Raw genomic sequence first — 26911 nt, 5'->3', positions numbered from 1 at the left:
TTACTTCTCTCCAGACTCTACAGCTACTCCTCTGTGGTGGGGTCTGTCTTTGCTGCCGCCCTTTCCGAACTGCTGAAAAGGTGCAATTCTGCAAAGCCTGGATGCCCTCCTAAGGGGGAGAGCCCTGTGTGCAGGGGGAGCAGGAGTTACCTGTAGAGTTGTCGTCTCCGAGGCAGGTCCTCCGTGCTCAGGAAGTAGCTGCAAAGATCACCAAGGTGCACAGGGTTAGTTTGCTCCAAGGCACGTCTGCACTTCACATTCCTGGCACTACCTCTATGGACACTCCTCAGGGACTGCCGCCCATGGCCTGCAGGGAGTAGCTCCCCTGTTCAGGTCCAGCTACACCTGTGACCAGAGCAGGGGGTGGCCAGACACCTAAGGGCTGAGGGACACCAGTGCAGATTCCACTGGCTCCGGGTGCCCCCTGCACTGGCCTCTGCTTCGTGGCCAGAGGGTACTGTGGTTGGGGGTGACACACACCTGAATGTGGATGTGGAAATCTTTTACAAGATCACTCACCTTCTGAAGGGCAAGGAGCTGAGCACATTTAAGACAAGTTCAGACATATAGCCTGGCCCAATAAATAGTTGTTGACTCATTTTCACCTAAGACCTCCCAATGCAGAAACCTTGGCTTTTACCCCAGGAGCAGGGAGGTGAAATTGTATGGTGGTAAAGTCCTCCGAACTGGGCTCCCCTCATCTGAGCCAAATCTACCCGCTACCAACTGAATAACCTGGAGCAAATTACTTATTTTTGTTTTCATTTACTTATTTTTAAAATGGGGAAAGCAGTAAACTCACCTCATGGAACTGTTGTATTCAATGAGATAATGTCTGTAAAGCACTTGGCTTAGAGCCTGGACTAGTAAAAACTCAATCAACATCAGTACTACCCCTACTACTGCCGCTAGCGTGCTTCCCTTCATGGGCTGGCTGCAAGCCTAATTGCGTCCTCAGGACGCCGCAGCTCTGGAAGTCGGACTGTTGGGACGGGAATCTACTATACATTTTCATGAAGAAACTAGGAGTCAGTGATGCTGCCTGAGGAGGAAAGAGGAGGCCTCCTGTGCTCCTGTACTCCATAAGTGTAATTGACAAAAAATAACAAATGTGCCCCATTGGCCAGTAAGATGGGGCAGGCCCCTGGTTCTCACTCACATCTTATTCCCCTTCTCATCGTAGGCTAGGATCTTGGTCACGTCCCAGTCCCCGGAGGTGATGGACTGGATGTTGTCGTTGCTGCTGTTGGGCTGAAACACACAGACATGGCATCAGGAGCAGACACCGGTGTCCCGGCCCCAGCATGGCTCTTCATCCTCCAACTGTTTTGGACACCAGGTGACAGGGGCTGCCATTCTCTCTGTGGGAAGGGCTCTCTGCCCCTTCTGCCTGCTCCTCTCCTGGGAGGCAACATCCTCCTTGAGGCTTCCCAACCAACCCCAGGCCCGCAGCCTCCCCGACCCCCGAATGTCAGTGGTGGGAACAGTGCCCTGTCCTCTTTGGTGACGCGAATCACTTGGACCTGGCCTCCAACCATGATGGAAGCATCTCAGGAGGAGAATCAATGCTTTATAGGCCTTTTTCATTTGTAAATCTAATTAATGGAGCCATTACTGAAGGGGGACCAGTGAGGGAGGAAAGAGACAAATGCCGGGAGGTGGAGGGAAAAAGAGAGAAGAATAAACGGAGGGAGAAAGGGCGCTCCCTGCTGCCACTGACAAGGACAGTTTGGACCTGTATTGCCACACTACAAGTTTTGCACGCATTGTCTTTCCCTATGTTCCCCTTGAGCTAAGAAGAATGGTAACAGACAATGGTAACGACCAATGGTAACAGAAGAGAGAGACAGGGCCATCTAGGCGGGAGCGATGTTTCAGTGGGGATTTGAAATGGGCAGCTGTTCTGGAAGGCAGATGCCCTGGGAGGTGGGCGCAGAGCAGGTGGAGATTAAACTAGGTGGAGGGCCCAAGGCACACACTCTGTGGGCTGCAGACTCGAACATGGGGGTTGGGGGGCAGCAGGGCCTGGGGGCGCAGACAGCGTGTAGGAGAGGCTGGGGAGTTTGAAGCAGGTTTTGAAAGGGAAGGCCCTGGGGGCCCCCCGAGGGGTTCCTGGGAACCTGCAGGAGGTGGTGCCTCATGGGCAGTGCAGGAGACCTGCTTCCTGCTGGAATGTTTGATAGGGCTCCGGGCAAATGATGGCAACTTGGATAAATACAAGACTGGGAGCCAAATGAAAACACTGAAGCATTTATAAATCTTTTTTTTTTTTTTTTTTGAGACAGTGTCTCACTCTGTCACCCAGGCTGGAGTGCAGTGGCACGATCTCAGCTTACTGCAGCCTCCGCCTCCCGGGTTCAAGCAATTCTCCTACTTCAGTCTCCCAAGTAGCTGGGACTACAGGCAGGTGCCACCATGCCCAGCTAATTTTTGTTTCGCCATGTTGGCCACTGGTCTTGAACTCCTGATCTCAGGTAATCCACCTGCCTTGGCCTCCCAAAGTGCTGGGATTACAGGCGTGAGCCACCGCACCTGGCCAGCATTTTAAAATCTTGATATAAGTGATGTAAAATAATAAACAAAAGAATTTGGATGGTAGAATGAAGACCGCAGGAAAAAGCAAAGGCAACAGCTTGCAGACATTCTATCAATCGTGTCATGAAGTGCACTGAGAAAAAATTGCACCTGAACCTCCAAGAGACGCCATTTCCATCCCAGGAGTCCCGCAGCCCCCACCCCGATTCCATCCCAGGGGTCCCGCAGCCCCCACCCTGATTCCATCAGAGCTGCTCTTAGTGCGGATGTTCTTGGATTTTCTTTTGAAATTGCCTTTGAGGCCTCATCATAAATATGAGCCTTCTATGTCATAGCCATAGAATATTTGTGATTAACATTTTCTCTAATCAAATTTCATTCATTTACCCTGATCCCAAATAACTTTAGACTGCCTCCAAAACTGAGGAGATCCAAGATCATGCTTCCCTTCTTCCTCAGGGCAGAGTCCCCCAAAGTCAACACCATGGCAGCCCCGTCCTGCAGGCGTGAGGCTCCCTGAGGTGACCTCTTCAGGAGATGGTGACCCCGAGATGTCTACTTTTGATCCTAGATTCACGTATATTAATCTCTGAGATTCCCTACTCAGGGATGCTCCATTCCGAACTCGCCAGACCCCAGAACCAGTGAGTGATGGCTGGTAGCGGTCACATAATAAAATAATACCTGCATCCAACTCCGGGTGGAGGTAGGGCAGCATGGGAGGCTGGACCCCTGAGGGATGTTGAGTGCATGGAGCCATGCCTCAGCGGGGAGTATGTTAAGGAGACCCTCAGCAGAGGGAGAAGGAAAGGGCCCCCGGCACAGACAGTCCTCCAACATCCTTGGCCTTACACTGAACAGGGGACCCCAGGGTCTCTGCTGACCTTGGCAGAAGCGTCATTCACATTCTCGCACGTGACCAGATAGAGCAAGGTTCCACCAGGCCTGATGGGAACCTCTGCACTCACCAGCGCCATGCCCTGCCCTGCCTTCGGGAACCACCTTCAGATTCCTTGGGGTCCTCGAAAACGCAAGTGTGCCCAGCCCTAGAGGCTGTCACCCCACGGCCTCTAGCAGGCCAGTTTCTAGTTCAGCTCCGGAAACTAGCAGGACTTACCTGGGACGAGGACACCGTGATGTGATAGAATTTCCCTCGTCCTCCCTGGGGGATGGCTCTGATGAAGAAAAACTTTCGGCCATCCTTGGAGAACACAGGTTCTTCATTCTGTGGACAAAGGCCACGGATGAAACCACAACTAAAACATCATTTATTCTGAAGAGGTTGAACCAGGATAAAATACACCCCGAGATACATTTTCTATGTGATTTCTAAGGAGAGGAACAGTTGAAATAATAAGTGCTTGATGAGGCCGTCACTTTCCTCGGGAATCATGAGTCAACTGTTACGTTTTCTAAAAGAAGAAGATGGAGGAATTAAGAGGCTACAGCCCCGGCAGTGGCAAATAAAAAGGCATCCCTCAGTCTACACAGCACCGAGACAAAGCCCAGCCCCATGTGCACGCCAAGCTCACCAGTGAGAACAGGAACTCTGCTCTCAAAACTCAAAAGGAGGTGCTTCCTCCTTGAATTATTGCCCATTGAAACCAGAGTGTATTGTGAGATTTCTCCAGTGGCATTTATTATATATCAGAAAAAAACATAATTCTCAACAATCCCAAACCAGATTTTGCCTAAAAGCAAAATCTATTCTTTCAATCCTGTCTTTTCTTCTTATTGAATACAATTGATCTCACACTGAATAGCCCATCAAGAAGGCAAGAAAAAAAGAAAATAAACACAAGGACAAATGCCACGGGTTCTAAAACACAGGTGGGAGGGGACAGCAGTCCCAGGGACACGCTCCACCTCGGGCCACACTGGATGACAACACTTGCTTGGATCTACTGTCTCTTTTCCCTGGAAACAGAATCAGCATGCCCAGTTTTCCCTGGGGGAAGGGTTCCAGGCTGGATTTAGGGCAGGTGTCGCCACCATCTCTGCCTGGTCCCCGGACAGTGAACAGCCAGCGGCCTCAGCCTTCCACCAGCCCACAGGGTGGCTGTTGCTTTGATGGGCGAAAAAGGATTTTGCTACCGCGGTACCTTGGCCTCTCTGAAGCCCAAGTTTGAAAGTTTCCATCCGTGAACACCAATTAGTTGGTTGCGAGATGTATTTTCTGACTCAAGGAGCTTCACACGAATGCGGGGATGAGAACTAATGGTAAATAAACCCCAGCTGGCACAAGCAAAACTCATTTCCCTACAGTGAGTGAACCCATGCAGATATGATATGCCCAGAGAAATAAACTAACATGTGATTAAAATGACATTTAATCTTCATGAATATTTGCAATAAAATGGAACCTTTAATCTGCAAACATTTATTTTCCTATTTAGAGTTGGAAGCATGGTATTTAAAAGCAGAGGAAATGGAAAAACCAGCGGTTAATTTGGCTTTTAAAATGCACTTCTATTTGCCAACTGTGCGGCGGGTAGCGCTATATTCCTTCAGTTTTCTGGGGGAAATGTTTGCACGTTTGGCAGACAAAGATACTCTAAATAAATGTAATAAATAATTAATTCTGGCCAGAAGCATTGTTTTTATAATAAGAAGGCCTCCACCGTTGTGATGTCATCTCTACCTTGTCAGGGAAACATTCCTCGGAACACAGGTGAAGCCTCTGAGTCTCTCTGAGACCCGGTTTCTCATGTGGTAAATGTATTTTTAGTGACAAAGTGCAATGATTGTTGACCAGGGGACCTGGATTTTATCCTGGTTCTGTCTCTCATTTGATTTTGGGGGAAGCGTTTCTAGTCTCTCTGGATAACAGAATTTATCACACACAATGCCTGGTTTCCTCAACTCCACTCAGCAGATCTGTGAAGAAGGAGCCCTTTTGACTCATGAGAGCTTCTTTGTGAGTTATTTGTAGCATTTTTGCCAGTGTTTTTTTCCCATGGTTCAGATATAATAATTTTGTCCAACCCCCCTTCCAGCCCAAATTTTGAAATCACAAAACCAAAATTCCGATAAAAGAATAAAGACAGTCAGAAATGGATCCATGGAACCGATCCTTCAACCAAAACAATAGGCTCTGGGGTTCTATGGCAAATGCAGATGGTTCTGGCAGAGGATCCTCATGGGTCTGCATCAGGACTGACTCTGCAGGGTCAGCGCAGCAGTGACAGGGTGTGTATGTGGCAGGGGGGATTGCCTGCTTCTCTGGAATATTCCTAGAGGAGAGGGAACTTGGTGGGTCTCCACACATGCATTTTCCTCTTCTGTTTGGCTCATGGGGAATCTCTGCGGGTGACCGTACTGAGGATTCCAGGAAGGAGTTGGGAAGAGAAGAGAGGAGGATGAACGGCTCAGATGAACAGCTCAGATGACACAAAATTAGCAGGCTCGCTACAACTCACCTCTGTTCTTGCACCGGGTCCTTGGAAGATCGGTGGACCTAAGCAGGCCGGGTCTCCCTGAGGTCTGCAGGACCTTCCAGATGCCAGTTTCTCCTGGGCCAGCTGGGGCAAGCTTCTGTGACCCATTGGAGATGGATGGGTAGAGGGCATGTGGCCTCCATGTGTCTCCCTCACTCATGCCTGCAGCCCTCCCAGGAAAACCCCCTTAGGCTCTGTCTGAAGCAGCAGCCAATGGCTTCGCTGGCAGCAGGTGGCAGGTTCAGTCTTAAAAAGTTACTAAGTTGTTCTCCAGGATATCACAGTAACTCGAGGGATGCAGAAACACTACAGATTGTTTTTGAAAAATAGGGTCCATGAATTCCTTTACGAAAAAAACAATGTCATAAGAAACTGTTTGAAATTAAATCTTCCTGCAGACCATGGAGCTGCAATCTTCACAGGTGCAGACTCACAACCTGTAGGGTCTTCAGAGACATCCTGGCCTCCCAACTGCTGCCATGGGCGGGATGCCCCAACCCAGTGTCACAATCACAACTGCAGCTGATGGGCTGACCTGACCCAGGGACGCTCCATCCCAGGAAAACACACCTGTCACAGAACCTTATGTTTCCAACTCATGGCAGCATTGCATACGTTTAAGCAGCTATTTTAAAAATTTAGCTGTGTGCTTAGTAAATGCTTTAAACTTTACATTTGAAAACAGTAAGAATTATTTTAATTCATGCCACCTTTTAAGTGTTGACTGGATTCTGCTTGGAAGGATCTGGTTTCTGGAATCCCATTCAGGCTGTCTTACCCCACACTTTAGTAGCTGTTCTCATATGGGCGATGAGACACACAATCGCTAATACAGGAAAGTCCTGCTGACGACCTCGGCTCTGTAGCTACTCTGTAGAGCTAATGAAGTGAGCGCTGGAGGACAGAACCACGGCCCCCCATGGGCCTCCAGGGACCATGCACTCTGCCGTCCATCCAGAGGGCAGAACTGCAGGTGGCCAGCTGGGAAGCCAGCTCCCCCTGTGAGAATGCCTCTTGAGGGGGACAGGGAAGCAGAGTGTGCATGTCCACCTTGCTTTCCCATAGCCTCCCTGCCCCCAACAAAGAATCACGTCCCTCACCTCCTCCTGTTCAAACACAAAGTGGGCCTGGCATAGGGCCTCCTGCTCCATGTCCACCACGCTTTTTCTGGCTCCCACTCCCACCAACACCCGAATACTTCAGCAATGCTTCTGAATGTCTGAGGATCACCCTCGTAGCCTGCACAATGGATGTAACGTGAACATCTCATCTCCCTGTCTAGGATGTACCATCTTTAAGAGCTCATGCTCTAGCTTATTAATTTTTTAAAAAATCGTTGAGGTAAAATTCCCATAACACAAAAGAAAACGTACTAATAAAAGTGAACAATTGAGTGGCATTTAGTCCATTCACAATGACGTGCAGCCACCTCTATCTAGTTCCAAAACATTTCCACCACCCCAAAATAAACCCCTGTTCATTAAGCTGTTCCTCTCCATACTCCCCCGGCCTTGGGACACCACTGATCAGCTTTCTGTGTCTATGAGTTTATTTATTCTGGATATTTTATATAGATGGAATTGTACAATAAGGTAGCCTTTTGTATCTGTTATTAGATGTGCTTTTCACAACAGCCAAAAGGTAGACAGAACCCAAATGTCCATCAACAGACAAACAAACTGGAATATACTGGAATACTATTTCAGTTCTTCTTACGGCTGAATAATATTCCAGTATATGTATTATATTGTATATATATGTATATATACATATAACACACACACATACATATGTATAATATTCCAGGATATATACTACATACATATTCTGGAATATTATTCAGCCATAAGAAGGAATAAAATTCTGACACACACCACAATGTGTGCTCAGTGATAGTAGCCGACTCATTTTTTGAAATCCACAGCCTAGCATGGTGCCTGGTAAGATCCATAAATATTGGTTGAACACATGATATATAGATAACGGAGTTTACAAAATGTTCCTTTTATTGTAATCTCTCTGACAATTTGTCTAATGTGAGATGAACATCACAATACTATTTTTGATATGTATGCTTATATGCTTATATGTTTGGTCCAGGTGGCATTCAAGAACTTTCCAGCATGCTAATGTTTGAGGGTTCCCTAAGTCTTCCCTCTTCCCGATATCTTCTTGGCTTGGACTTGGCACCCAAATTGGGACATGTAAAATGAAAGTGGCCATGTGGAACCATTCCTCTTGTGAATAAGATTGACACAGAGCAGAAACAGGATACATTTCGGAGCAGCCCGTCTGTTGATGAGGCTCTGACTTCTGAGATAATTATATTCCTGACTCCACAGGCAGAAGCAGCAGCCCAGCATCTATAGTGCTGGAATGTTCTTGGAGAGCCATGGCGATAGTTTTGTCCAGCTTCAGTTATTTTCCATAAATAGGATCCACCATATCGATGAAGAAGCATACCTGTGTCTCTACCATAATTCATGAGACTGAAGTCTGGCTTGACTTTTTCCAGAGTCTTTAAGACAATTTTCATCCCCTTAGGAAGGATAAGGAGACAGGAAGCTTCCAAAGCTTTTTCACCTGTTCTTCTTAGTGTCAGAGTGTGGAATGAGACAAAAAGGCTTGAAGAAAGAAAATACTGATACTTTTTGTGCAAGTTTAATTTAGAAAAAATTGTCTCAGAATGATTTACCTGGGCTTCTCCTGATCTCTTTTGGTCTCAAGTTCCTAGAGTCTGTTTTAATGTGTGTTCCTTTATCTGAGTTAGGGATGAAGACTCTCCAGGGATGGTTTGCAGTTATGTCCCTGAGGACGGGTCTTACGGAATCACAGAGGAGGTGACTCCAAATGAGACACCAACAAAACCACCCCTGGCAACAAACAGGGATATCCACCACTTTTCCACCCTTTTACTATAGTAGATTATGTTAAGCCACCTTTGATGGACTGTTCATTTTCAATTCAGCAAGGTGCTGGCATCTAACTGCAAGCTGAGGTCTCACCAAACATTCCACGCTCTGAAGAGCCGTGATTTTCACACGACCCTCCCTGGAACTTGGATTCTCCTGGAGCTCTCTGGGCAACCCTGGAGAACGGGAGGCACCGTGAGTGGAGCCGGCACGCCGTCTGTTTCTGCCTGGGGAGCCCTGTGTGATTTACTCTGAGAAGCCATTCTGCTGTTGTCGAAGCTCTGAGGGCCAGCCCTGGGGTGGATCAGGTGGAGGTGACAGTGGGGACCCGGACATGCAGTAGTTACCTGTCTGTGGAGCCAGGCCTCACTTTCATCCTCGTGTTTCTGAAATGAAATGAGAGCATTAGACAAGAGGGTTTTTCTTTTCTTTTCTTTTTTTTTTTTGCATGTATTGTGTCTGTGACCGACAGTGCAGGAAACAATTTGGCTTCACCTACATGGCCGCTGCACAAGCATTGCACAGCTGCCACGGCAGCTCTGGGAGGAGGCAATCCCGAGCTCTCCTCTTTGTCTCGTGCGTGGCTCGGAGCCAAACACAAGCGTCCTCGAATTAGAAAATGCCACTATCCCTAGCAACAAGGACAAACCCGTGGTGGAAAAGAACCCTCTGGGGGAAGATGGCACGTGTACCAGGGGGCGGTCATCACTGCCCGGGCATGTGTCCATCTAATAGTGAACCTCAGCCTACACTGAGTCAGAACATTGGACATTGTGTCCAGATCCCATTCTGGAATACTGAGTAACACTCCTGGTGGACCAGAAACCCTTTCAAAGGGGCTAAAGCATAGAGGAAAAGTGGGTCTCACAGTGGTCTATGGAAAGGTGCAAACAAAAGAAAAACAAAACTCCAGACACCAAACTCAAGCTGTGCAGCACACATGTGTCACCTGGAGGCGCTGTGGGCCTGGTGCTGGTGCAGACTGGACCTCCGGGCCCCTGGAGCAGGCCTCTGTCATGGGTTATAGCAGGAAGCAGTGTTTGCCACTGACACTCAAGGCTCAGGGGCATGGAGAAGTTGGAGATTACAAGCCATTTTTAGCTGCCTGCTTTGTGTCCTCACGTTCCTTCCTTCCCCTCAAGCAAGCTCATCAGAATAGCCTGGAATCCGCCCCAGGTTAGATAAAAGGTCAGGCAAGACTGACCACCTTAGAAACAATCACTGTGCTTAGGATCTCAGGCACAGCTGTCGTGTTAGGAGCCTCTCAAGTAAATATGCCTGCAAGCCTTGGCCCCCCTCAGCCAGGAGACAGAAACTTAAGATCAAAAAGGAGTTTCTGAAAGGCCTGCCTGAATGTATTAATCGATATTATTTGATGTCTACAAAACCCGCCACAAGGTGACCTGCTTCTGGGGGCCCATCCCATGGGGCGAGGGTGAGGCCGTGGGCCGCCTGCCTGCTCCACCCGGGCAACCTCTCTTACACTTCATTTTTCCTTTGCTCACTCTTTGAGCATTTTAATTTTCTTTCCCCTACGTTTACCTTCTCTCACTACACACTGAGTCGGCCTGAGACTCCTAGAAACATGGCTGGCCTCACCAGGACGTGGGGAGGGACGCACGCCTGGAGCCCGCTGGGGGAGGCTGTCGGCGGGGTCTGGGGAAAGGCAGGGCCCCTCCTCTCTGAGCATCAGCTGCAACGAGGAGGACGCTCACTTAGGTCACAGCGGTGAGCGCGGATAAAGGGAAGCAACACTCAGTGAACTGCGGACGGCGTCCAGGTGCCAGGCACGGGGCGCCTCTGGCAATTCACGGATGGGTTCGGTCGGGTCTGCGGCAGCGCCTGCACCAGCCACGAGGTGGCAGCCACGCCGGAGCCGGGACTCTGCGCCGCGGGCTCCCCGCAGCAGCTGGGCGGCCGGTCCCCAAGTCCCAGGCCCGAGGGCTGAGACGACTCTGGCGCCACCTCGGGCGCGTCTGACCATCGGTTCTTCACCCGTCTCCCCTCCACCCCCACAGCCCCGCGTACCTTCGTGCAGACCCCCGTGGTGGCGTCGCAGAGGGTGAGGATGGACACGTTCTGCGCCCGGTTCAGCCAGGTCACGGCGACCTTGGTGCTGGTGGCCCACTTCACCATGGTGATGTAGTACTCCCTGGAAACGCCAAACACAGCATGAGCAGCTTGGCAGGACCCCCGCACGACAGAAGCCAGGGGACCGCCGACCCCAGCCCTGGACACGACACGGGAGCCGGGGGCCGGAGCCAGTGGTGACACAGCCAGCCTGCGAGCTTCTGAAATCTGGCTTATAAAGAATCTGCACTGGCGCGGGACTCTGAGGGGCCGCCCAGTCATTACCTCTTGCTAAATAAACCCAAAGACACTGGGAGTTGCATGTCACTGCGTGTGGCTGCCCTGGGGGTGAGGGGTGTGGGGGCTGCTCCGTGGGTTTTGAGGTCTCGTCTCTCCAGCTGATGCCTTGACTTTCACACCGCAGTACCAGGCAAACGCACAACTAACCACCTGACCGGGCAGCGAGGGGTCCGGGGAGGCGGGACAGAGAAAGAACCGGAAAAGGGCTGGCGGGAGGCCCCAGAGAGCGACACAGGGTGAGAAGCATCCCAGCCTGGGCTGTTGAAGGCTCCATTCTCTAATTCCTCCTCCTTAAAGATAAAATACCCAGGGACACTCTCTAGCTAATTAGGGAAATTGGTTCATGGCTCTGGGCTTCAGGCGAACTTGGTTTGATATCTTAAGGGTCATGCGCCTGATTCTGCCCAAACCTGAAACTACCACAGGCTCTGTGCGGCTCTCTACTTAGCCCGAGGGGTACCGGGGCTTCTGGGAATTCATCCAGTCACCCAGAGCCCTCCAAAAACCAGATTAAAAAAATACAATTTTACATTTAAGAGGAAGAAGAAAGTGTTGAGAAAATTAATGCCCCAAAAAGACCATCCCCAGGTGAATCCCAGAATGTTCTAGAAGCCAGCTAATGCGCGTTCAATCATTCACCCCTTCTCTATCTATAATGAGATCTACTGTTCAGAATGATTACTTTGTGGTCTTACAAGATCTTTTATCACTAAAGACAGCAGTACATTCACTAGACAATTCCTGGCGAGCCAGAGAGCGACCTCACTACACTTAATAATTATTTTAACAGAAACGACTATAGCCAGATGCCTTGGCTGGAGCCTCAGTTAACCAGGAGATTCCAGTGCCACATCTCCCCCATTTCCCACAATTAAAACTTGTTAATCAAGGTTCTTAATAACTTGACCTAAATCAGGACCATGTGGCAAACAGAAGGAACAGCGGCAAGCAGGTGAGGGCCTAAGACAGGCGGCTGCTGGCGCATGGCCAGGAGGGGAGGTCTGCAGCTGCCCACTGTGGTCATGGGGAGTTCCTGAGGACTGGGGTGGTGAGGAGGTACATAACCCGTGAACACAGGAGGGGCGCTCAGCTGTAATCCAGCTCTCGTGCCTTTCAACCTGCTCCATTTCTGTGATGTCTGAAACATGGTTGCTTTTCTTCCCACCATCTGCTCCCCATACTGGCCCGTCCTAGAGCCTGGCCTGCCCCAGAACCTGGCTTGCATGTCCACAGGGACCATGCCCTCCCCCCTGCTCTCCATCCTGGCCCTGGCACTGACAGGTGGCACATCCTGCCAGCAACATTCTACAAAGGTCCTGCTTTGCTGTTTCATGGCCCAAAGGCAGGGACAGGCATTTATAATGATGGGATTTGGTCATTATTTACAATCATAAGAAAAAAATATATGTCACTTTTGTCCTTAAATATAATTCAACGTCTCTGCCTAGCCCTTGCTTTACATAGAACACTTTTATTTTTTAATGATGTTGTAACTGGTCTTTGAGTCCACACTGGAGGACGCTGAAGCGTGTGCAGGGAAACTGCCATTTATAAAACCATCAGATCTCATGAGAACTTATTCCCTACCATGGGACGTGTGTGAGAGCCACATGGGGCCTGTGGTTGCAAGATTCCATGTCCACAATGGGGGCAGTGGCGAAGCCACAGGGTACCCTGCACTTACTCTCTCAGCAAACACATTTCGTCTGCATGCAATCAAGAAAGAAAATGTAAGGTCTCCCGGAATGACTATTTTTTCCCTCTATGTCCTTCATGCTAATTAGGAAGAATGCTGCTTTTGTTCTCAATTGTTGGAAACATTCATTCATCCTATGCTTCTTTCTGCTTTTTATAGTGTTCTTTTGTACAAATAATCTTCATCTAGGCCAAATATGACTACACACTATTCTTAGTTTTTCTATTTCTTAATTTGGAAGTGAAATGTTATAAATGAAAATGAGATGGATGCAAACTTTCTCTTGATGCCTCCAGAACAAATCGTGCTGGAAATGTCACTAGGCTGAGTGCCACTGGATGGAACCAGGGGGCTGGGGTGTGCAGCATCAACAGCAGTGACATGGCCCGCGGAGTCACAGTACTGTTCCTGCTTAAAGCTCTTGGCCACAAAACGTGGACACACAGGGACAAGCCTGCTTCATGGCTTTAGAAGGAGGCAAGGATGTGTTACTCTGGTGTGGTTTGTTATTTTCTAGAAGTAGCCACCACACTGTTTCTTTACTCAGAGCCTGATATGGTTTGGCCATGTCCCCCCGGCAAATCTCACCTTGAATTGTAATAATCCCCACATGTCAAGGGCGGGGCCAGGTGTAGACAATTGAATCATGCGGGTGGTTTCCCCCATGCTGTTCCCATGGTAGGGAATAAGTTCTCACGAGATCTGATGGTTTTATAAATGGCAGTCTCCCTGCACACGCTCTCTTGCCTGCCACCAGGTAAGACACCCCTTTGCCCTTCTTTCGTCTTCCACCATGATTGTGAGGCCTCCCCAGCCATGTAGAACTGAGTCTATGAAACCTCTCTCTTTCTAAATTACCCAGTCTCAGGTAGGTCTTTATTTTATTTATTTATTTTTATTTTTATTTTTTTGAGACAGAGTCTCACTCTATTCCCCAGGCTGGAGTGCAGTGGCACAATATCTTGGCTCACTGCAACCTGTACCTCCCAGGTTCAAGCGATTCTCATGCCTCAGCCTCCCAAGTAGTTGGGATTACAGATGTCTGCCACCATGCCTGGCTAATTTTTGTGTTTTTAGTAGAGATGGGGTTTCACCATGTTGGCCAGGCTGGTCTCAAGTTCCTGACCTCAAGTAATCTGCCAGCCTCGGCCTCCCAAAGTGCTGGGACTACAGGCATGGACCACCGTGCCCAGCCTCAAGTATGTGTTTATTAGCAGTGTGAGAACTGACTAATACAGAGCCCCAAGTAAAATGACCAGTTACATAAAGTGAGTGCTAGATCATCTCTTTTTTCCCTCCCTCCCTCCCCTCCCCTCCCTCCCTCCTTCCTTTCCTCTCCCTCCCTCCCTCCCTCCTTTCCTCCCTTCTCTTAGTTTGTAATATGAGGCTGTTGCACTGAGGAAAAATATAATTGTACTAAAAATTAGGACAGTTAAATGTGGACCCACTCTGCCTCGTGGCTCATCCCTGGGTTGAGGGGCAGAATGTGGCTCACCTCAGAGGCCTGAGAAAGCCTTGGTTCTACAATTAATTCTATACGGTGCTTCAACCCTCAGTTTCTTCATTTGTGTAATATGAATTTTTAAAGCCTGGTGGCACCCTTAGAGATGTTATGGTGATGAAATACAGTGTGAAATATTTTTAAAAACCCAAAACAATAAACACTATTAATGGAATTTATAAAGATTATATAATAAGATTTCTTTTTACATACATGCATCCATAAGGGCTCCACCTCTATGTAAGGAAGCCGTGATTCTCACATTTTGGGCAGTTCTTTGCCTCTTCTAATCCTGTTGCCATTTATCATAAAGCTTTTGGGCCCCTTGTGCCGACTTGCCCTGAGAGCTTGATGTTGCCTCATGACCCGCATAGCAACATCTCATCTCTAGTCAACATTTCCTAAGTCCATGAGTTGCATCAGTGACTATACCTGGTGCCAAATACACTTGATTTTTTATGTTTTTTAGACGGAGTCTCGCTCTGTTGCCCAGGCTGGAGTGCAGTGGTGTGATCTCAGCTCACTGCAACCTCCGCCTCCTGGGTTCAAGTGATTCTCATGCCTCCGCCTACCAAATAGCTGGGATTACAGGTGCCTGCTACCATGCCCGGCTAATTTTTGTATTTTTAGTAGAGACGGGGTTTCACCATGTTACCCAGGCTGGTCTTGAACTCCTGGCCTCAAGTGATCCACCTGCCTTGGCCTCCCAAAGTGCTGGGATGACAAGCATGAACCACTGTGCCTGGCCCCAAATACATTTTAGTTATTTTCTAAAAATCAAGTCGGTGTACGAGGGTGAAGCATCACCACCAACAGGGCAATCTTGAAGGCGTTCTAGCAGCTTTCTGGGGACAAGGTAGGCACCTTGCGAGGCAGCGACGCTTTGGACAAAGGGACATTCTTTTGCTCTATAAGGTTTGTAGTCACACTTTTGCTGCTGGAAGGGAAAATAAAACATTTACTTGCTCACAAACAGCACACCATACACCACATCGAGTGTGGACTCTCCAGACAGAGGTCTCCAGCAAGCAGTGGTGCCTGGCCGGCAGAGGGAGACCTTTACTAACTTTGTGTTATCATGTCTAAAGAGACACACAGAAATGATGAAAAGTCACAATGCCATTAGAAATGAATGTTGAAAATCTCTAACTGCAACACAGATGGCACTGGTGAAACCAGACAAGGTCTTGCCCAGTTTCTTCCCTGTAGGGAACAGGGCAGCCCCAGCCATGAGAACGCAGAAGGAAAAGGTTTTTCTCTTCCCCACTGTACTATTCTTCCCTCAGAAATGCTGGGCTCACACCAGCCACAGATTTGGAAAGTCAAACCTTTGCTAAATGGGTGTTAAGGAAGATTGTAATTTTCCATGTGTACTAATTTACATAGAATGTCAAAGAAAAATTCTTAAGAAGGTAGAAAAAAAAATGTCAACTCAGCCCAGACGATCCATGCCAGATGCACATGGGTTAGACTGTCTTCCAGATTTACACCGGAGAAGAGCTCAGTAGCACCTAAAAAGTCAGAACACAGAGTCAAAGGTGACTCTCACCCTTTGTCTGTGGCCAGGTATCAGGTGTGGGAGGCATTCTCCTTCCTGAGGTGCGGAACTGTGAGGGTCAAATGGTGCAGAATAAAGGAAAGGGAAGTCACACTAAAAATAAAGAGAACAGAATTCTAAAAGTCCAAGATAAGATCAAAAAGGGAGATGAGGGGGCTGCAAGGAAACTAAAACTAAAATTAGAAAAATTTGGGTCAGGAAAATTGAGGAAAATGTGGGAGGTTCTCCCACAAGGCAGAGGAAGGTGACATGGAGGTGTAAAGAAGAAGATGAGCCTTCCTACCGGCTGGGAAGAGCAGTGCTTCTACAGAGAAACCAGAGTGGCTACAGACACGATAACCAAAGACAAAGAGGACGAAACTTCTGTGTAGGAAAAAAGACCCGAATGTGAAGACTAAAAGGGATTTCCCACATTCCAGGGAAAATAATGAAACATCTAAATATGTTGTGCTAGAACCTTTGAGTTATGGGAAAACCGAAATTCCACAATAATCTAGTAATAAGGAAATAAGTTTTGACAAAGGATCAAAATTTAGGCTGATCTGAAGCTTCTCCTCCTTTCTGTCTATTGCTAATACTTAATGTTTAATATTTCAATGTGTTTTTTTAACAACCAATATATTTTTGTATTAAAGTGTATCTTCTACTTTTTTTTTTTTTTTGAGGCAGAGTCTCACTCTGTCACCCAGGCTAGAGTGCAGTGGCACGATCTCAGCTCACTGCAACCTCCACTTCCTGGGTTCAAGCGATTGTCCTGCCTCAGTCTCCCGAATAGCTGAGATTACAGGTGTGCGCCACCACGCCCGGCTTATTTTTGTATTTTTAGTAGAGAGGGGGTTTCGCCTTGTTGGCCAAGTTGGCCTCAAACTCCTGACTTCAACTGATCCGCCAGCCTCAGCCTCCCAAAGTGCTGGGATTACAGGGGTGAGCCACTGTGCCCGGCCTTATCTTTTACTTGAATATATTCTACACTGACTTATGAAGGCAACTCAAAATTAATGGCTCAAAATTAAAAACTCAACATGTAAAAAAAAGTAATCTCTAAAATCAGTTCATCCATAGCTAGTTCTAAACTACTATCAATTTGATGATAAATTCAAATTAAGTGATAAAAATAATATAAAGAAATACTGGGCAAATAGTTTGTAGGATCATAAGCATTTAGTAAATTGCAAAAAGAAGGCTAAAAACAAAACATAGCAGCATTACACATGATGAAATGGAAGGATATTATTTAGAAAAAAGGAATAGAAACACCTATGTTTCTGGAATAAGAGAAAAGACATGGTAAAGTTTTCAAAATGGTGATCAGTTTGGAAAGAACTGAATTTATTATATTTAACCTTCATAATGGCAGAGACCATACCCACCTTATTCATTTGTACATTTTTTAGCACCTTACATAGGGCTTCACACATGGTAAATACTTAATATTGGTTAAAGAAATGAATTTAATTTTAATAGCAAACCAATGAATTTCTTTTCAGTAGAGAGTCAAATAAAATAATTCTGAAGTTCGCATATAAGAAGAAATAGATAGGTGGTTTTAAAAAGGAAGCATAGGGACAGGGGATTTATTTTTTAAAGTTGCTAATAATAAGCGTATTTCTGGAACCACCTGACATCTGACTGAGGCAACCATCAGTAGTGGACAGGCACCTTTAATGCACACTGGTTTGTATGATAATTTTACATTTAATAAAGATGTCATTCCAAATCAGTAGGGAAAGGAAGACTTCCACAATCGATGGTGTTGGGAAAATGGCTTAATCATTTTTTTAAAAAAACCCAAATAAATGAAGAACAAATATACATTTCCAGAAAAGAAATCTCAAAGGATAATTTATCAAATTTCTCACAGTAGTTACCTACGGGTAGTGTGATGTGCAATGACAAGGGATTATTATTTTCCATACTGCATAGGTTACTTTTTAAACAAGAAGATGGTTATTAAGAAAACACTGGAAGTCTCCAACTTAAGTTAGTAGATTTATCACATTAGTTTGTTTTCCCTCCAGAAACCTAATTGCAATGATAATAAAGAAATAAAATATATGTACAATAATAAAGACAACAGGGGAGGGCTGAGAGATTTCATGTTTCTGGAAGACAGAAAGTAGATAGAAGGGTCATGAGGGATGAGTCAGGCTGGAGGGCACAGCAACCTGGACACTTGCAGAGCTGAAACCTCAGAGAGAATCATGGGGACTCAGAGCTCCAGGTAAAGCATCGTATGAGACTCAGAAATGCAGTTCAAACAGGAGGAACGATTGAAAGTATATGGATGAAACGGTGATAAGTGAAAAGAAAACACACACATAGATATATTATTTCAAAATTCAAAAAGCTTTTGGAAAGAAAAAAGGTGATTTGCAGAGGAACAATTATCAGAAGTCTATTCTCACACTGCTGTAAAGAACTGCCTGAGACTGGGTAATTTATAAAGGAAAGAAATTTAATTGACTCACAGTTCTGCAGGGCTGCAGAGGCCTCAGGAAACTTACAATCATGGTGGAAGGGAAAGCAAACCCATCCTTCTTCATATGGTGGCAAGGAGAAGTGCCCAGCAAAGGGGAAAAAGCCCCTTATAAAACCATCAGATCAAATGAGCACTCATTCACTATCAAGAGAACAGCATGGGAGTAACTGCCCCCATGATTCAATTACCTCCCACAAAGTCCCTCCCACGACACTTGGGGATTATGGAAACTACAATTCAAGATGAGATTTGGGTGGGGACATAGCCAAACCATATCACAGACCAACATGAGGTTTATCTTTAGCATCTCAAAATGCTGGAAACAATGGAGCTATACCCTCTAGCTTTGACGAATAAAGAGTTAATAAAAACACTACAATTCTACATACAGCTAAAATTTCAAATGTGTGAAAAAAGAGACATTTTTAGCTATTCAAGAATTCAGAAAATTTACTTCCTGCACTCCTTTCTTAGTAAATCATTAAGAGAATGCACTCCAGACAAAAGAGGGAGTAAATCACGTGATCTATGAGATCTAGGAAACAGTTGCCCCAACATGAGGGAGCACTGTGGGGAGGTCCCAGGATGGCCTTAGTGTAGAGGTTGGAAAAAGTAGTCCAGACAATACCAGGGCTATGGAGGGCACTCAGAGAGACAGACTTGGGGAAAAGGGCAATGCAACAGAATAGCTGAGAGGATTTGAAAAAAGGAGAGAGAGGATGTAATAAAATTAAATATTTCAGGTAAAAAACAAAAACAATTTAAAACTCCAGGAAAACAAAAAGTGAAACAAAAAGAATTGCAATCACAGGGCACTCCTTAGCTCTATCATGAAAGATAATCACTTAGTTATGAGAAAGTAAATGCTATTTATTGATTTTAATCTTTTAGAATCAACCAATGGAAAAGTAAGGAAGGTTTAGTTATGATTACAGGACAGAGTGTAAATGCCATCAACCTCAATGATGTAAAAGTAAAAACAAAGATGCAGAAGTTGCTGTGTGGTAGGGACAGGAAAGGGACTTGTAGGAAAGGGCGGGGGACTAATCTCAGTTTACAAATTGGGAAGTTAAGAGCTCCTCTCTGTAGTTAATGTAACATGAACAAACTTGTAATAGTATTTAAATGTAAAAAGGTAACTGACATAGAGAATAAAATCCACATATAAATGGAGGGGGTAGAATAGGTAGGAAGGTAAGTGTTCCGAATTCTTGTCTATCATAAAAAGACAATAAATAAGACTAAAATTCATTTAAAAACAGTGAAATGTGCATTTTGCTTAGTGATTTACCATATAGGATGGTATATATCAGGAGAAAGTGTAAAAAGAGTGAAAAGTCATCTCCATCTGGGGGTGAGATGGGTTAGAAGGAGAGGGAAGAGACTGTTGTTTTTCACTATAGACTCTTCCATATTATTTTATTTTTAAGCACTAATATGCAATACTTTGATAAAAAAGAAAAGCAAAGTTAAAACTAAATAAAACTTAACAACAACAATAAATAAACCCACGGTGTCATGGAGAAATATTTCAGTGCCTCTGAATGAGGCTGAACCTATTGGCTAGCTCTCACTGGTACACGGTGGAGATGTCCTTCCCCACACACCTGATCACAGCCGCTCTAGATGCTTCCAACCAGACCAAGTTCATAAGAATAAGATATTTTTTTTCAAGCTCCTCAAGAAATAAGTTTAATTCAAAGAAAAGAAGGCAGGAAAGGGCACAGAAGCAGTAGGATATTTAATTAATAATGCCCACCCATTCATCTGATAAGGGGATGGGAATGATTAAGTCTTCATGAAGGTGGCAAGGTCAGATTAGACGGGTCTGTGGACTGAGGTAGGGAGCTGGTGATAGGACACACAGAATCTGCTGCAGACCTGAGAGCTTGCTCTTTTTGTTCAGGGAGCCTAGATGGAGCTCTCCAGAGTCACCCCTGCCTGATTGTGACGGGCATGGTGGTGGCTGACCTCACAAACTCGGAACAGGTAAGGGTCTCACGTATATTCTCAACAGTGACCAATACTTGAGCTGGCTTTCTCACCAAGCAAAAACCAGACTGCCCTGTAACTAGAATCTACATCAGCTCACTGAGTGTACATTTTTTTCCTGTCCTTTTAGAAAAAAAATGAAGGAACAAGTACGTTGCTGTGATTTAACAGTGAAGTGTTTCTTTCTCAGAAAACTGTGCTTGAGTGTTAAAGGCTCTGGTGTGCTGAGCTCTCTGCGGGCTTTGCTTGGATAAGCTTCTGTGACTTCTGAATTTTACAGAAGGGTGGGGGCTTGGTAAGGTTTTCCTCAGGCAAGTGTCCGCACAGCTGGGGCCGAGGTCTGGCTCACTCTTGTCCTAGGTCTCTCTCCTTATGAGGGCCTCTTGTCCCAGGAGAATGGCGTGTTCACAGTGCAAGTTGTAGCTCAATTCCCTCCCCAGAGGCTGCTGTCGAAGCTTGGATGTGCACTGTTCACGCCATGCAGGAGGTTCCATGTTGGGCATGAGGCTCACAGGCAATGAAACACACAGGACCCCTTGCAGCAACCTTCTCCAAGCAGGAAAGTCCCAGTGGCTCAAGCTGGAGCCGAAAACTCTCCTTTCCTTGTGCAGTTCCCCAGGTGTCTTTGCCCCTATAGAAAATGATGAAAATAGGGCAGAGAAGAGCTGTCTCCAAGAAAGCTCCTCTTGGAGGCTTGAAGAGATAGCCTCCAAGAAAGCCATGTTTGTCAGCCTGTCCTGTGCCCTTTTCCAGCCCTTCTGGTTCCTGCCTCCTCCCTCACAAGGTCCAGGCCTTACCATTCTTCCTCACAGTCCTGGGTTGGCCAGGCGGGGAGCTCCTTGAGACAAAGAGCAAGGAGAAGGAAGTGCTTCTACTCATGTGTGTTCTGTCCCAAGGCGTGGGACCTGCAGATGCCTGTCAAATTCCCATGCCCCGAGTAAGACTGTCTCTCGAGGGGACAAAGGGAAGCATTGATCAGAGGGAGACTCTACAGGAACGTTATAATGCCAGAACACTCAACGTCAACAGAAGGCACAGTCATGAGAACAGGTTGGACTGATGGGAGGCGTCCATGCCTCACAAAGGGAAGTGGAGGGAGAGCAGAATCCTGTGCTGCGGGAATGGCTGCCCACTGCTCAGCGAGCCGCAATAATGCCACACGCCACTGACCCGCGCTGCTCCCTGTAAACCTGTTGGTGTCTGCATGGGTGACACATCTCGTGTCATACAGGGACATCATTGGCACCACCATGACTGTACTCAGAAGGCACTGCTGCCTAGAAGGAAGCACGGGCAGAGACGAGAGAAGACCCTGCCCGTCCTGTGTGAGCTGTCCTGATTTCGCAGCAATCACAGGCAGTGTTGTCACCCTCGCCCAGGGAGGTCAGGCCACCCAGAGAGAGCAGGACAGCTATGGGGATGCGAGGCCTTTGTGGCAAAGTCAGGCAAAGTCCATGCAATTAGGGGAGAAAGCAGGTGGTGGAAACAGCCTCTACCCCCATCTCTAAGGAGGCAAGTCAGGTTCTGACAGTGTGGTTCCTGTACCAGCAGCCCCTGGGAAGGTGTTAGGAACCGCATGTCCCAGCACTTTGGGAGGCCGAGGTGGGTGGATCACCTGAGGTCGGGAGTTCGAGACCAGCCTGGCCAGCATGGTGGAACCCCGTCTCTACTAAATATACAAAAATTAGCCAGGCCTAGTGGCAGTTGCCTATAATCCCAGCTATTCAGGGGGCTGAGGCAGGAGAATTGCTTGAACCCGGGAGGCGGAGGTTGCAGTGAGCCGAGATCATGCCACTGCACTCCAACCTGGGCGACAGAGCGAGGCTCTGTCTCAAAAAATAATAATAATAAAAAAGAAAAAGAAATGCAAACTCCCAAGCCTCACCCTAGACCCTCTGAATCTGAAACTCTGGGGGTGGGGACAAGCACTTCCTGGCTTAACAAGGCCCTAGGTGATTCCAGTGCCAGCTCGAGTGGAGAACTACTGATTGGAGACGAGCGATCCTCTGTCTGGCAGTGGGCGACCACATGAGAATAACTCCAAGCGCTATTTAACTATAGATCTCCATTTCCAAATCTGCCCTTACTAAATATTCTTTGAATGGGTAAATGTATTGGTAGGCAGGTAAAGTGCTTCAGAATAAAGAGAAATTTGGTAGCAGTTAAAGGAGAGGAGAAAATAGGATTTGAAGTGGAATCATTTTTTAACATAAGGCTGGAGCTGAGTGCTAAAAGACGCAATAATCTATCTGCCAAGATGAAGAGAGATATTGAAGCATTTTGATAATCACAGAAAATAGATGGTCATATTTTAATAATCAAAATTCCATTTTAAAAAGAGCATGATACCAAAATATGAACAGGAAGCGAAGATAGCTGGAAGAAATGCTACCAAATTTCTCTTTATTCTAAAGCACTATATCTGCCTACCAATGCACTGATGCATCCAAGCGCATCTAGTCAGGGCTTGGCATGTGGGAGACACGGTTCTAGGTGCGGACGGTGCAGAGATGGGCAAGCCACTAACTTCAGCACAGGGTGGGGACTGCCATGGATTACGTGGGGGAGCACATGCAATGGCACAGCCTGGCTGAGGAAACGTTATTACATTCCATGAGTCCTAGGCCAAAGGTGCCTTCAAATCAGAATATAGTGACTCTTCCTGGTGAGAAGCATATCAATTTTTTATTAGTCCATTTGTTTGCCATAAAATATTAATAGAGCATTGTCTCCGTCACAAGGATTAATGTGCTGTGATACTTCTTTGTGTTGCAAATCCTGGCAAATGTTCTGACAGTTGTGTGGCAGTAAAGGGCGAGGGGAACAAAGCTGGTTTATCTCATGAAATAAAGGGCCCACAGTTAACTCTGGTATTTTTTTAGCAATGTTTATCCCATGGATTGAGCAGGGGTACAAAAATGTTATGAGAGAGGACATTTTAAAAGATGATGTGCTTTAATAGAGGGCACCGCTGAGCAAACTGAAACGACCCTAAATACCAAGCGCTGCTCTACTAAAGTGTACAGTTCCACATTTGAGTATGCTCTCGGGCAGCCATGCAGTTGCATAAAAACATCTGCCGGCAGAGTGCCTTCTACAACACAGAAAAGTGACGACTTAAGACAAATTACTATTTGGTGTCTGTTTCCATAATTTCACTTTCCATGTAGGAATAGACCATGCTGCCTGTCCCTTCCATCTCAAGGGCTGGCTATAATGCAGGGCCAGCTGTCAGGATGAGGGAGAACGAAGTGAGAGGGGGTCACAGAGAACGCGCCTTAGGGACTGCGGCATCCTTTTTCAACAATTTAATGCTGTGAACATGAAGACACCCAGTGAATAGGAGTGGTGGGGGTAAAGCCATGTTGTCCTTTTCCCAGCCATTCATTTTCACACACTCAGCACCCATCTATCTATTTGTCCATCAGTCTGTCCATCCATCCATCCATCCATCTACTGTTCATTCCTCTCACCCATCCATATATCCATCAACCATTTTTCCATCCATTCATCTATCCACCCATTCATCCATCATCCCTCTATCCATTAATTCATCCAACTGTCCATCATCCATCCATCCACCCATCCATATATTCATCATCCATCTATCCGTCCATCCACCCATCATCCATCCATTCACTCATCCATCAACCATCCATCTATTCATCCACCCATCCATTCATTATCCATCTATCCACCTATTCATCTATCTATCCCCTTACCCATCCATCATGCATTTATCTATTCATAATCCATCCCTCCACCCACCCAACCATCACCCATCCATCTATTCATCACCCACCTACCCACCCATGGACTCAACCTGTTTCCTCAATATTTGCTCATGCCTCAATGCATGTTAACACATTTAAAAACATGATGCTAGGTAAATTTTGCCAAGTCTCATTTTCCTGCAGATGCCATGAAATCCATGTACTGAATTTGCTACTTGTGGTCCACGGGAAGAAACTGCGGATGTCACTTACACCCTTGGAGTTTACCAGCACTGGCTCACCAGCCCAGTGACTCTGCCTTGGCAAACCTTGTCCAGTGTTTCAGTGTTTTACTGACAATTTCAGATGTCAAGACTGTTTTGCTAGCTGGAAGATATGGCTAAGGTGTTTTATTGATGAGGATGGCGACGCAGAATCCCATTTTATTTTTCTGATGTCTCCTGCTCATTATAAGCCTGCCAACCAACCAATCATTCCCTGCATTTACAGCATCTTCAGAACAATCCAGCTGCCCTTTCAAACACAGGCCATGACAATGTAAAATGTACTTTCTTCACCAGAAACTTATTATTCTGACAGCTGTGACTCAGATTTCCAGCCTCCTACAGCACTGAACATTTTTATTAATGATCCCATGATCAACAGGAACTTTGTGAATTTCCTTTTCAGCACATCAGTAAAGATCCGGCATTTCTCTAGTCTGGAGCTTCTCCATTACCCTAGTCACTGGGAATGGCTTCTCACCCTAATGAATAACAAAGACCCTGCCCTGGTCTGATTCTGAAAGCACAAGGCTGTAAACAAAGCTGTCTGCTGGAGCCAATCTCCTTGAACTGGTGCCCCCTAAGATGAATCCATTTGAGTATTTAGGTAGCCAGATGATTTCTTTAACACACAAGGTGAAAACAGAGATAGGACTACAGGTGAGGGGAACAGAGCACATTTGTGAAATTGTAATTTACATCCAGACCACGTCCAAAAAAAATTGGAACACAAATTCAGATAAAATAATATATCTTCCCAGACAAAAGAGAGGTTAGGACTATGTTTAGGTAAGATGGCAGACTCAGGGATGGGGTGGAACTGGGGGTTGGGCATAGCTATAATTTGTAAAATGCTGCTGCTGAGAAGGGCTTCTCTGCCTTGGCCACACTTAGGAATCACCTGAAGATGTCTGAACAACCCCAACATCCAGATGGACCACAGCCTGAGGGAGGAAAGCAGGAAGAACAGAGATTTTGCCAGCAAACCCTCCAAATGAGCTTTGTGCCACCTGAAAGTTCAAGCACAAAGGGAAATACAGTAGGCGTGACAGCTCTTAAACAATGCTGAGCAATAGCTCTGGTGACGGAAGACTCGTGCTCAAGTCCTGGTTCTACTACTAATTAAAAGTGCAACCATAGGCAAGTCAGGTCATTGTAAATGTGACAGGTTATTGACATTGTAAATGTGAGGCAGGAGAGCTTGTTTATGATAGGGAAGGAGGCAGAGGAGACCTAAGAATGGAGAGCAACAGGGACCAAGTGAGAGCTGACAGTGGTGGTGGTGGAAGTAGAAGTGATGATGGTGGTGGTGGTGGAGGCGATGGTGGGGGTGGTGGTGATAGTAGTGGGGGTGGTGGTGGAGGTGGTGATAGGGGTGGTGGCAGCAGAGGTTGTGGAGATGATGGAGGTGGTGGAGGTGACAGTGGACCTGGTGGTGGTAGAAGTTGTGGGGGTGATGGATGTGGTAGAGGTAGTGGAGATGATGGTGGGGGTGGTGGTGATAGCGGTGATAGTGGTGGTGATGGTGGGGGTGGTGGTGGTGGTAGAGGTTGTGGAGGTGATGGAGGTGATGGTGGTGATGGTGGGGGTAGTTGTGGTGGTGGTGGTGGAGGTGATGGTGGGGTGCTGGTGGTGGAGGTTGTGGAGGTGATGGAGGTGATGGTGGTAGCGGAGGTGATGGTAGAGCTGGTGGTGGAAGTTGTAGAGGTTGTGTAGGTGACAGAGGTGGTGGTGGTGATGGTGGTGAAGGTTGTAGTGTTGGAAGTTGTAAAGGTTGTGGAGGTGGTGGTGGTGGAGGTTGTACAGGTGGTGAAGGTTGGAAGTTGTAGAGGTTGTGGAGGTGACAGAGGTGGTGGTGGTGATGGTGGTGGAGCTGGTGGTGAAGGTGGTGTTGGAAGTTGTAGAGGTTGTGGAGGTGACAGAGGTGGTGGTGGTGATGGTGGTGGAGCTGGTGGTGAAGGTGGTGTTGGAAGTTGTAGAGGTTGTGGTGGTGGTGGTGTGGTGGTGGTGGAGGTTGTATAGGTGGTGAAGGTTGGGGAAGAGGTGGTACTGATGATGGTGGTGGTTTTTTTTGGGGGGGGGTGCTCAAGCCATTAGGTATGAGAACTCTATTGTTCTGTGCTGTTTTCATGGCCCTGATGACCCTCAGCTTTCCCAAAACTCGTGCACATACCATGTTTTGTATAAATTGGAAAGAGAGAAGGCTGAGTTTCGCATCAGGGTCAGCATGGAGGTGTCATGGGCAGTGCATATTGGGGAGAAGCCTGGAGGCAGAGAAGGCCATGAGGTTGTAAGCTGCCCAGGAGCTGGGGGCATCTGGCATCACTGTGTGCAGTTAGAAACCGTGGGTTGGTCAAATACACATGGGTGTGCTAGGTCTCCACATGGTGCTCACAGGAAAATAGGAGAAACAGACATCTATGTCTGGAGCTCT

At 46.8% G+C, this 26911-nt stretch overlaps 1 protein-coding gene across 13 annotated transcripts in view, besides 1 other annotated feature; it reads right to left on the bottom strand.

Moving 5' to 3' along the window:
• Nucleotides 1-26911, bottom strand: part of DPP6 (dipeptidyl peptidase like 6) — a 1146153-nt gene that overhangs the window by 89171 nt on the left and 1030071 nt on the right. For 12 of the 13 annotated variants that reach the window (NR_157195.2, NR_157196.2, XM_047419951.1 and 9 more), the window contains 5 exons: nt 10913-11036; nt 9232-9270; nt 3653-3760; nt 1160-1251; nt 151-198 (listed from right to left, as the gene is read on the bottom strand). Coding sequence is in view for 11 of the 13 variants with exons in the window: in XM_047419951.1 (XP_047275907.1) it covers nt 151-198; nt 1160-1251; nt 3653-3760; nt 9232-9270; nt 10913-11036 (411 nt within the window). In the remaining 2 variants the exon portion in view is untranslated. Of the gene's footprint in view, nt 1-150; nt 199-1159; nt 1252-3652; nt 3761-7960; nt 9271-10912; nt 11037-26911 lie in introns of those variants that run through there. The other variant, NM_001364501.2, reaches the window with a different exon arrangement.
• Nucleotides 21579-22080: an enhancer, noted in NCBI's record as "H3K27ac hESC enhancer chr7:154574745-154575246 (GRCh37/hg19 assembly coordinates)". NCBI's record gives its function as "activates a minimal SCP1, AML or CMV promoter by ChIP-STARR-seq in naive H9 embryonic stem cells {active_cell/tissue: H9 hESC(naive)}" and the evidence as "EXISTENCE:reporter gene assay evidence [ECO:0000049][PMID:30033119]".

Source organism: Homo sapiens, chromosome 7 (genome assembly GCF_000001405.40).
Source record: "Homo sapiens chromosome 7, GRCh38.p14 Primary Assembly".
NCBI lineage: Eukaryota > Metazoa > Chordata > Mammalia > Primates > Hominidae > Homo > Homo sapiens.
This window is presented reverse-complemented; position numbering and strand designations above follow the sequence as displayed.